Raw genomic sequence first — 12,098 nt, forward strand, 5'->3', positions numbered from 1 at the left:
GCATTGTTGTGGATCTTGTTTGGATCTTGATTCTTGACCAAATGTCCAAAGACATTTTGATGACAACTGAGGAAATTGACTAAGTTAAGAAATTATCTTATTTTGTCAGGGGTGATAATGGTATTATGATTGTTTTTAACTGTGTAACTGGATATATTGTGCACCCCCACCTAAGAACTGTTAGGTTAGTCTATTACATAAGACTTAAGGCTTTTTCCTATTGTGCACTTGATCTTAGCCAAAAGGCCAAGAAGCAATATAGTGTGAATCACTTTCTCTTCTTCTAAGGAAAGGTCACAATTAGGACACCCTTTGAAGGGGAGAGTGGGAGGCAGCTTTCATCGGGAGCCTTCAGCTGGCCTGGCCCCTTTCCTTTTGCACAGGTAGTTTGAGTTTCATACTAACCCGGAAGTGAGTGCCTGCCAGGTAGGGGAAGGTTTTTAGGAAGTGGTTTTTGGCCCTTTGGGAGGTAGAGGGTAGTCACAAGCTTTCTTGAACTCTGAACCTCCTGAGGGTCGGGGTCTTTCTGCTGACCCACCCACTGTCTATAGTGGGACCTGAACTGGAGTAAGCAATCTTAATAGCTGTTACTGAGCACCCATTCTCTTTTCTGGGAGGTGGGCAGGGTGGGAGGAGGAGGAGGAGCAGCCGGCCTGAAACTACAAAACCTCTTTAAGATGGAGAGCTTGGCAGATGGGAGTTCCCCTGTTTGCAAAACCCAAGACAGCTCAAAGGGAGTAATTAGGGTGTTGGGGCCACTGGAGGTTCAGCAGGTGCCTCAGTCCAGACTCAAAAACCTCCCTGGCTGGTCCAGAGTGATCTAAGGGAGTGGCCAGGAGAGAGGATGGCCTTACCTTGCCTGGGATTCAAGAAAGGAAGTAAGTTTTGGTACCTCGCTGGTGAAAACATGGGAAACAGCACATCAATGTGAAGGGAGAAGGTGATGGGATTTAAATTAGAACATGGGCAGGGTACTTCTCTCTGCTCTCACTTTGTGACCTTAGATTGTTTGTCTAACCTGTTTTCCTTATTCACAGAATGGGGCTAATCCCGGTGCTGAGGTTGTTTAGAGCGTCAAATTGCTGTTGAGTATGGGGCAGTACAGTTCATGAATTGAAAAAGTCCTGCTGGGCGCGGGGGTTCACACCTGTAATCCTAGCACTTTGGAAGGCCGAGGCGGGCGGATCATGAGGTCAGGAGTTTTAAGACCAATCTGGCCAGCATAGTGAAACCTCGTCTCTACTAAAAATACAAAAAAATTAGCCAGGCATGGTGGCGTGTGCCTGTAGTCCCAGCTACTCAGGAGGCTGAGGCAGGAGAATTGCTCGAACCGGGGAGGCGGAGGTTGCAGTGAGCTGAGATCGTGCCACTGCACTCCAGCCTGGGTGACAAGAGCAAGACTCCATCTCAAAACAAAACAAAAAAACCAAAAAAACCTCCTACACAGAGGTAAGATGTAAGTTTTTTTTTTTATTTCAGAAGATTGCATTCCAAAGCCAGATATTGGTAATTACTCACTCTGAGGGTTTATCTGTGCCTTTCCGGAACTGAGTGGATAATCAGGAGTTAGCTGAATTTTCAACAAGGGCTATTTGTGGTAGTTACCAGGGGCAAGTGGCCAACTTCACATGGCTAATAGCCTGGGATGTCTTCCTGAAGGATGTTCCCAGAATCAAGGACAGTCCTAGTGTGGCACCTTTTTTTTCTTGGCTGAACCTTTAGACTGGCAAAGCCCTAGGTGTGGGGAGGGGAGGATTGTGGGTCTTCATAGATGAATTTTGTAAAGCCAGCTTGGTAGATCTGTCATATATGGCATGGGACTTCTCCATCTCAGTTTGATGTGCTGTTAGTAAACCTAGATGATTCCTCCATGACAGGCCTTGTTTACAGGCCACTTTGTAATTATTCTCCAAACTAGTGGTAACCACCTTACTCTCAAGACATACATTCCAGCCACTCAAAGTTGCCTTTTTCTTTGCCTTAGAATGGAGTTGCAAGCTTCTCAGAGGAAATTAAGTCCCACAGTAGCCAGGAGCCATCTAGATAAATGATCTGATAGAGATAGGGCTCTGTATGGTTTTTGCTCTGCTTTTCACTTAAACTAATTTATTTAGGCTCTTGATAATTCAGAGATAAGTAATAGTACTGGAATAGTCACCATTTACTGCATTTACTGAGTGTCTCACCTGTTCTAGCCCAAGTGATCTGCTGAGCAGATGCTTTTTTTTTTTTTTTTTTCTTTTTTTGAGAAAGAGTTTCTCTCGTTGCCCAGGCTGGAGTGCAGTGCACGATCTCAGCTCACCGCAACCTATGCCTCCTGGGTTCAAGCGATTCTCCTGCCTCAGCCTCCCAAGTAGCTGGGATTACAGCCATGCACCACCACGCCTGGCTAATTTTTTGTATTTTTACTAGAGATGGGGTTTCTTCATGTTGGTCGGGTTGGTCTCGAACTCCTGACCTCAGGTGATCTGCCCACTTCGGCCTCCCAAAGTGCTGGGATTACAGATGTTAGCCACCGCGCCTGGCCCAGCAGATGCTCTTTTTATTCCCACTTCACAGATGAGGAAAGTGAGACTCAGGAGACGTTTAGCAACTCTGTCCTTCTAATTGCTCAGACTAAAGACCTTAAGATCATCCTTGCCACCTCTGTTTTTTTTTTTCTGGCTGGTTGCAGTGGCTCACACCTGTAATCCCAGCACTTTGGGAGACCGAGATGGTAGGATCATGTGAGCCCAGGAGTTCAAGGCTGCAAGTGAGCTGTGATTGTGCCACAGTACTCCAGCCTGGGCGACAGAGTGAGACCCTGTCTCTAAAAAGTAAATGTCTTTTTGTGACCCCACATGTAATGTACTAGTACATCCTTTGACAATTAAACACTGTGTCCTGGCCGGGCACAGTGCCTCATGCCTGTAACCCCAGCACTTTGGGTGGGAGGCCAAGGTGGGCAGATTGCTTGAGCCTGGAAGTTTGAGACCAGTCTGGGTAACATAGGGATACCCCATCTCTTACAAAAAAAAAAAAGTACAAAAATTAGTCGAGCATGGTGGTGCGTGCCTGTAATCCCAGCTCCTGGGGAGGCTGAGGTGGGAGGATCACTTGAGCCTTGGGAGGTAAAGGCTGCAGTGAAAGATGAGTGTGTCACTGCACTCCAGCCTGGGCAACAGAGCAGGACTGTCTCAAAAAGAAAAAGCTGCCTGGGTGCGGTGGTTCACGCCTGTAATCCCAGCACTTTGGGAGGCCGAGGCAGGTGGATCACCTGAGGTCAGGAGTTCAAGACCAGCCTGGCCAACACAGTGAAACCCTGCCTCTACTAAACATACAAAAATTAGCTGGGCGTGGTGGCATGCGCCTGTAATCCCCAGCTACTCGGGAGGCTGAGGCAGGAGAATCGCTTGAACCTGGGAGGCAGAGGTTGCAGTGAGCTGAGATTGCACCATTGCACTCCAGCCTGGGTGACAGAGCAAGACTTCATCTCAAAAAAAAAAAAAAAGCTGCATCCAGGTTGGGTGTGGGGGCTTATACCAGTCATCCCAGCACTTTGGGAGGATCACTTGAGCGCAGGAGTTCAAGACCAGCCTGGGCAACATAGTGAGAGACCCCATCTCTTTAAAAAAAAATTAACTGGGTGTGGTGGTGCATTCCTGTGGTCTGAGCTACTCTGGAGGCTGAGGTGGAAGGATTGCTTGAGCCCAGGAGGTCGAGGCTATATTGAGCAAGAGCCACTGCACTCCAGCCTAGGCAATGCAGTGAGACCATGTCTCAAAAAAAAAAAAAAAAAAAAAAAAACTGGCTGGGCGTAGTGGCTCACACCTGTAATCCCAGCACTTTGGGAGGCCGAGGCGGGAGGGTCAGTTGAAGTCAGGAGTTTGAGACCAGCCTAGCCAACATGGTGAAACCCAGTCTCTACCAAAAATACAAAAAGTAGCTGGGCGTCATCGTGCACACCTGTAATCCCAGCTACTTGGGAAGCTGAGGCACAAGAATCGCTTGAACCTGGGAGGCAGAGGTTGCAGTGAGCCGAGATCATGCCACTGCTCTCCAGCCTGGGCAACAGAGCAAGACTCCATCACAAAAAAAAAAAAAAAGAAACAACAAAAAAAACCTATGTCCAGATCTAAATGCTTGTACCGCCTCGTCTCTTGCTGGCCTGGACCATACATCATCATTTCTCATGTAGATTTTTGCAGCAGCCTCTTAACTGGTCTCCTATCACTCCTACTTAAAGCCCTCTGGTAACTTCTTAGCAGAGTAAAATTCAGAGTCCTTAGAGTGTTCTCTAAGACCGCACTTGATCTGGTCTCTGTCCACCTAACCTCTGACCTCATCTTTCATCACTTGCCCCTTCTTCACTCATTCCCTTCCAGCATCAGTCCTCACTTCCTGAAACATGTCATGTACTCTTTGCTTTGGGTCTTATGTTCTGTAGTGCTCTTCCCGCAGATCACTGTGGTGGAAATGCCTTCCCAGACCACCCTATATAGACTAGCAAGTCCTGACCTTGGATTCCCTCTCTCCATCCCTCTTACCCTGCTTCATTTTTCTTCTTAGTTCTCCCCACTGCCCCCCGCCGCCCCAAGGCAGGGTCTGAGTCTGTCATCCAGCCTGCAGTGCAGCAGTGCAATCACGGCTCACTGCAGACTCAACCTCCCAGGCTCAAGTGATCCTTCCACCTCAGCCTCCAGAGTAGTAGCTGAGACTACAGGCACACGTCACCACGCCTGGCCAGTTTTTTAATTTTTTGTAGGAATGGGGTCTCACTATGTTGCCCAGGCTGGTCTTAAACTCCTAGGCTCAAGCAGTCCTCCCACCTCGGTTTCCCAAAGTGCCAGGATTACAAGCATGAGCCACGGCACCTGGCTATTTTTCTTCTTAGCTCTTATCACCACTGGGTCAGGGACTTCGATACCTGATTACGTTTGTATTCCCAGTACCTGCAGCAGTGCCTGGCACAATGTAATAGGCAGCTTGGTGAACATTTAGTGAAAGAATGAATTGCGTATTTTTAATGGCATTCATTCATTACATTTTGAGTGCTTACCATGTGTCAGACATAGGGGATACTGCAGTGCATAATAAAAAGTCTCTGCAAGAAACACATGCACTCAAAATTCAGTATGGAATATGTTGTGTAGGGAATCCCAAAGTATGGAATTCTTTGGCAGTGTAGCAGGGGCACCCAATTCAGTATAGGTCAGAGAAGTCTTCTAGAAATGGGAAGGATGAGTAGCAGTCACCTGAGAAGAAGCCTGGAAAGAGAACTCAGTTTTGGTTGAGGAAAGGCCCTGGTGTTCAGGGAACTGAGTTCCTTGTGGTTTTAGTATGGATGATTAGAAAGTAAGGTAAGCAGTCCTGCCTTGTAATCTGTGCTGAATTCTGATTTTAGCTGGAAGGAGTGGAGAGACATCGAAGATTGTATGTGAGGGGAGTAGCATGGTCAGATTTTTCCTTTTGAAAGATGACTCTGGCCACATGGCAGAACGTCTTGGGTTAAGAATAGGTGATTTGGGGTTTCCCATTTGATCCTTTAGGGCAAGGTTCCCAGATTACAAAATGGAGCAAATTTCCAAGTCACTCCTGAAATGTGGATCTTGGGCAATTATTAACTGTCATCACTTAGGGGTAGAGAGTGGCCGAGGTTTATGGGATATCTCAGACCCTTCAGAAGGCTACATTATCCAGAATGCATCTCATTTGCTGGAAGAGGCACAGTTGCTGATGAACTGGTTGAGCTCATGCTTGCCTGCTTGCCCCTGCTGCAGCTGGCTGGGTGGGAACAACAAGAGGCCCTGAAAGTTGTAGAAGGGGCAGTGGGGCAGGCTTCCAGGTGGCAGTCGGCCCCCTTCTCCTGGGGTGGTCCACATGGCTAGGCTTCTAACCATCAGCTGGTTTTACAGCTATGCTGAGAACAGTGGGTTTGCATTTGCCTACAGATAGGCTGCTACCCTGAGTTCTTGAGAACATTGGGCTATAGTTAGGCTTACCCAGCCCAGTTTCCTAGTTGTCAGCACTGTCTCCATTGCTGTGCCCTCAGGGCCTTGGTTTTCCCTTCCTCCTTTCAGAGAAGAGGGAATATTTGGAACTGGAAGGGACTCAGAGGTCATTCAATCTAAACCTCTCATTTACAGGTTAGGAACTTCAAGCCCAGAAAGGAAATAGGAGTTGTTCAGGATTCCAGTCAATTCAAAGTGAGGCTGAGACTTGAAACTGCTCCCACTACAGTTCTGTTTTAACTCTACCTCTGGAGGAAGAAGTAAAATGGGGTAGTTGAGCATGAACTTGGGACAGTCAGTCACAGTTAGCGCAGCCATTTACCCACTGAGTGCCCTTGGATAGGTTGCTAACTTCTGGGCTTCAGTAAATGGGGCTATAGCTGGAGTGCCCACGTACTAGGATCATTGATGAATGTGAGCTAGGTGAATATATAAAAATACTCAACTGGAGCCTGGCACATAGTAATACGTGGTAATGGTAAGAATGTTGAATGTTCTTCTTTTGAGGCCCTGACTTTGGCCCAGGTCTTCAATTTGCTTAACAGAAGTCAGGTGCTATAGCTGGCCTTCCTCTGTTGTCCTGGGTCCTCTTCCCCTTGATTGCTGCAGTTTGGTCCTGAGTATACACAGGAAGGTAGCCTACGTGAACTCTCAGAGCCAGTTTTTCTGACCTTGCCCTAGGCTGGCTCAAGCAACTCCATATTGAAGTGGAATTTAAGGACTCACTGGGGACCATAATCTTGACAGTGAGAAGCTCAAATTGTGGTGCTTGAGAATGCCCTAGTGTTAGAATGTCAGAGATGAGTTCAGGCGTTTTGCAGTAAAACTCTCCCACTCTCTTTCATGGCTTTCTGCAGCTTTGAGGTTGTTTGAAGAAGCAGAGCTCTCTCTGATTTTTCTGTTCTGTATATGTATTTCCTGTTCTGCGTGTGTATTAACAGTGGTAGGAGGAAGAGACACCAATTACATGGATGGAATAGCCTAGTTTTGGAGCCCAGTGTAGGGGTGGGGTTTGGAAATGGTGAGTGCAAGGTTGGGTATGGGAGGCTGGATGCTGCTTCTAGGAAATGTGGGAGACAGGAAATCAGGAACACCTGGAAGAATTGGCTCACTGGGCTGCATGCATCCTTCTATGAAGAAGGAATGGTTGAAGAACTAGGGTTATTTTGCCCAGGGAATCAAAGCTTGGGGGTGCGGTGGGAAATGCTGCTTGTCTTGAAATACAGAATTTTGATAGATCTTTTCCACTTGGCCTAAAGCTCTGATGGCAGGTGAGAGATGAAGGGTTAGTAGGTTTTGCCTGTAGTCAAGTAGTAACTTTTAACAGTGCCCCTAAATGGATTCAGTTGTCACAGGGGATACTGAGTTCCTTGACATGGTAATATTTGGGACAGTAGTTTAGAGCATGATTTGTTGTAGGGTTCTGCAGCTACAAGTTGGCAAAATACTTTTCAGATTCATTCATTCAGAAAGTTGTGAATACTGTATCTGTTAGGTGTCAGGCCCTGAGATTCAGAGTTGTAAACAAGACACATTGCGGCCATGGTGGGGCTTATATTCTGAAAGGCAGAAGTCACCTGTCAGTCCAGCCCACTGACAAGTTTTGATTGACTTGCATGTAAAAACACTTTAATCATCTGTATTTAAAAATCAAGAAAATTATCTGGAAACCTAGGGAATTCTAGCTTTAAAAAGAAATCAGAGTCAATAAGCAACCACTGAATTATGTACCCTATTTTTTATTTATTTATTTTTATTTATTTATTTATTTATTTGAGACGAAGTCTCACTCTGTTGCCCAAGCTGGAGTGCAGTGGCGCGATCTTGGCTCACTGCAACCTCCACCTCCTGGGTTCAAGTGATTCTCCTGCCTCAGCCTCCTGAGTAGCTGGGACTACAGGCACGCGCCACCATGCCCGGCTAATTTTTGTATTTTTAGTAGAGATGGGGTTTCACTATGTTGGCCAGGCTGGTCTTGGAACTTCTGACTTCGTGATCCACCCGCCTTGGCCTCCCAAAGTGCTGTGATTACAGGCATGAACCACCTTGCCCAGCTGTATTTTACTTTATTTTTTTGCGTGATCTCAGCTCACTGCAACCTCCGCCTGCTGAGTTCAAGCAATTCTCCTGTGTCAGCCTCCCAAGTAGTGGGATTACAGGTGCCTATCACGCCTGGCTAATTTTTTGTATTTTTAGTAGAGACTGGGTTTTGCCACACTGGCCAGGCTGGTCTTGAACTCCTGACCTCAGGTGATTCGCCCACCTCGGCCTCTCAAAGTGCAGGAGTTAAAGGTATGAGCCACTGCCCCTGGCCAAATTGTGTACTTTAAATGGATGGGTTGCATGGTATGTAAATTATGTGAATAAAGCTGTTATAGGGGTAAAAATGAGAAGGCCTAGCCGCTCTGGACCTCTCATGACTGCTGTCTGATGGCAGGGCCCAGCCTCCCTTTAGGTGAAGAGTGCCACAGCTTGGCTCTTGTAGGCCCTTGAGTTTGCCATCTTTTATCCAGGCTTCCTTCCAACATGAGGTCTATGGGCCCAGACTTTGTGTATTTCATCATAAAAATGAGAAAGGACAGCAGACTGCCTAGCTCACAGAGGAACATCCTCATGGGAGAAGAATGAGAGGAGGCGGTGGGGGACGTGGGGACGACTTTAAGGTCTTAGGGTAGGAGTTGCACTCAATAGAGGTGAGGTAGGGGGAGTGAGTGTGATGGAGAGATAGGACTCACCTAGCTTTGTGGCCAGAGGCCCTGGAGCAGCAATAGAAAGCTCTCTGAGAGTTAAGGGATGGGCTTGCCAGGTGAAACTGAGTTATGTTAGGCCCCAGTGAGACTTTGCTTCCCTCCCCTCATCTGCGAAATGGATATAGCATCTTGGATGTCAATCTCTAAGGCTCTGTTAAGCACAAACACCCTGTGTGATCAGTCTCAGAGTATAAAGGAGAAAGATGTGGCTAGAGGCCTTGTGGCAGTAGCTGGGGGCAGCTTCAGTCAAAGTGTTGGGGAGTGCCTCTCACGGTGAGCCAAGATAGGATTGATAAGGAGACTGGTGGTGAACCTTCTAACCTGGAGGAATAACAAGTACCAGGTGGTAATGAGTTTAGAGTTCTCCAAGGAGCAGAGACAAGGCCTGTATGAATGAGGGGAGAGAGACACAAAGAATCAGAAACAGGAGGCCTTTGGAGGCCAGCTTAGGGAGTCTGGATCCTGTTCTGAAAGCATTGGAAGAGGTGATATCACCTGATTTCTGCTTTAGGATTACCCAGTTCTGTGGAAAATGGACAGAGGAGGTAGGGGGAGGAGGCAAGGTGGAAGCAAGGAGACTGCTTAGGAGACTACTTCTGTAGTAGTCCAGGAAAAAGATGGAGAGGAGGGGGATGATGGCATAGTGACTTGGGCCTGATTTTTTTTTTTTTTTTAACTAGCTGTTTTGTCCTGAGACTAGACCACTTAAAGAGGAAGCTTTCTGATTGCTATTTCGTATTTCCTCCTCACTTCTCACACTGTCTAGAAGCTGAATTAGTTGCACTATCCCCTGATCAGAAGGGTAGTTTAGGCAGGCATTTTCCCCCTGGTTTTGGATCTCTTGGCCCCAAAGCCATGCTGAGGACAGGTGCTTCCCTGCCTAGGCTACCTCTCCCGGCCTGTCCCTGGCTCCCTCCCTGCCCATCCCTGGCTCTCTCCCTGCCCCAGGGTAGAGGTGGAATGAGGGTATGAGAGAATAGCCTGAGACACAGGCAAGGGCATGGTTGGGAGGGCAGTCCAGGAGGTTGGGACTGATCTTGACCCTGAGTCTGTATGTCATGGTTTTTTCTTCCTGACTTCTTGTCAGGAACTGCTGTGGGTTTTTGATTTCAGGTAAGATCCTTAGGGCAGAGTCAGAGCAAGCTGCTGGAGCACAGTCTGGGAATCCAGACTGGAGTTCTGATTTTAGTCCCACTCTCTAGTTTCTCCTGGCTAGAACTTCATTTCTCACAACTTTTATAAAGGGATTGGATCCTGGCCGGGCACGGTGGCTCATGCCTGTAATCCCAGCGCTTTGGGAGGCCGAGGCAGGTGGATCACCTGAGGTGAGGAGTTCAAGACCAGCCTGCCCAATGTGGTGAAACCCCGTCTCTACAAAAATACAAAAATTAGCCAGGCGTGGCAGCAGGCGCCCGTAATCCCAGCTACTCGGGTGGCTGAGGTGAGAGAGTCGCTTGAACGCAGGAGGTGGAGGTTGCTGTGAGCCAAGATCGCGCCACTGCCCTCCAGCCTGGGCAGCAGAGCGAGACTGTGTCTCAAAAGAAAAAAAAAAAAAAAGGATTGGATCCTGTGCTGTCAAGTGCAGTGCTTATCAGTGAGTAATAGCCTTTATCATGTCCTTGGGCTTGGCCAGGTGTCCTAAAATCTGCCTCATGGGTAGCTTGCCTTGGTGAGGACAGATGCCCCAGGAACCCAGGCCGGAGTTCCTGGAGACCCTCTGCTAATCTCATGATTATTGAACTTTCAAGCTACCACACACTCCTATTCACTGTCACCATTCATTTTCACAGTAACCCTGTGGGATCTAGCTACAGTGACAATCCTCATTTTACGGATGACAAAACAGGTGCTCGTAGAGGTTCACTAATTTGCTGAAGGCTTCACAGTAGTTAGTAAGTAGCTGGGGTTTGAGCCCATGGCAGACTGACTCCAGAGTTCATGCCGTACACATCATCTGGCTTTGCATTCTCCCAGACCACAGAATTGTACATATCCTGCCAGGAAAACTGTTGGCGGGGAGAGAGGACTCGCACAGATCTTGAGCTGCTGATATCTGTATAGGGCTGTTACGGCCCAGCCTAGACGCCTCAACTCTGCCTCCGCTGGCAGGGTGGGCTCTGGGGACATAAGCCAAGTGGGTATAAGCCAGGCACTGATCCTGCTGGGGAGCTCTGGCTCTTATTCCCCTAGAGATGTTCCTCTTCAGCTCTGCCGGGCCACATGCAGGCCTGCTGGAAAGACCTTGTAGTTTTTCACGAATGGCCTTAGGGTCAGTAGGAAAGGTTGGGGGTGGGGTTCTCTACAGGCTTTGGAAGGCTGTCTGGCTTTGTGTTACCAAAGAGGACGGAAAATACCCTATGTGTTGGGCCTTTTAACTTCTTTCGAAGGGGAAATCTTCAGGTTGCTCAGGCAACACCAATTCATTGTAGAAAAATGTCCAAATATATTTTAGCAAAAAGAAAAACAACCCCTTGGTAATCTGTCCCACTAACCAGCAAATATACAACGCACATGAACATAAATACACATATAAATATAATAAGCATTGATGAGATTGTGTATCTTTCTAGACCAGTGCTAGCCACGTAAATTAAAATTTTCTAGTAGCCAAAACAGGGGAAATCAGTTTTAATAATCTAATATATTCAAAATGCTGTTTTAACATAATGTAAAAATAATGAAATGTACATTCTTCTTACTAAGTTTTTGAAATTTGATGTCTTTCACACTTCTTGATTTGGGCTAGGAACATTTCAAGTGCTCAGTATCCACATATTGTGGCTCGTGACTATGGCATTGGATAGCGTATTTCAAGTGTGTGTAAGAGTATACATATATATACACCTTTTTAATAAAAAGACAAAATGGGGTCATAGTATAGTAGCCTTCCCGTTGTCTATGGGGGATACATTTCAAGACCCTCCAGTAGATGCTTGAAACTTCAGCTAGTACTAAACCCTCTATATGTTTTTTCCTATACATATGTAACTGTGATAAAGGTTAATTTGTAAATTAGGCGCAGTAAGAGATTAACAACAACAAAATACAACAATTATAACAATATATTGTAATAAAAGTTATGTGAATGTGGTCTCCTTCTCAAAATATCTTTTGTTTTGTTTTGTTTTTTGAGATGGAGTTTTGCTCTTGTTGCCCGGGCTGGAGTGCAATGGCATGATCTCAGCTCACCACAACCTCCGCCTCCCAGGTTCAAACAATTCTCCTGCCTCAGCCTCTGGAGTAGCTGGGATTATAGGCATGTGCTGCCACACCCTGCTAATTTTGTATTTTTAGTAGAGACGGGGTTTTTCCGTGTCGGTCAGTCTGGTCTCGAACTCCTGACCTCAGGTGATCCACC

At 46.9% G+C, this 12,098-nt stretch overlaps 1 protein-coding gene across 18 annotated transcripts in view, besides 2 other annotated features; it reads left to right on the forward strand.

Annotated features, from left to right (window-relative positions):
- Window positions 1–12,098, forward strand: part of LARP1 (La ribonucleoprotein 1, translational regulator) — a 134,627-nt gene that overhangs the window by 77,856 nt on the left and 44,673 nt on the right. The window lies entirely within an intron of this gene.
- Window positions 259–368: an enhancer, noted in NCBI's record as "active region_23483". NCBI's record gives its function as "activates an Ori minimal core promoter by ATAC-STARR-seq in GM12878 lymphoblastoid cells {active_cell/tissue: GM12878}" and the evidence as "EXISTENCE:reporter gene assay evidence [ECO:0000049][PMID:35858748]".
- Window positions 9,454–9,513: a silencer, noted in NCBI's record as "silent region_16553". NCBI's record gives its function as "represses an Ori minimal core promoter by ATAC-STARR-seq in GM12878 lymphoblastoid cells {active_cell/tissue: GM12878}" and the evidence as "EXISTENCE:reporter gene assay evidence [ECO:0000049][PMID:35858748]".

The sequence above is a fragment of the Homo sapiens genome, chromosome 5 (assembly GCF_000001405.40).
Source record: "Homo sapiens chromosome 5, GRCh38.p14 Primary Assembly".
Classification (NCBI taxonomy): Eukaryota; Metazoa; Chordata; class Mammalia; order Primates; family Hominidae; genus Homo; species Homo sapiens.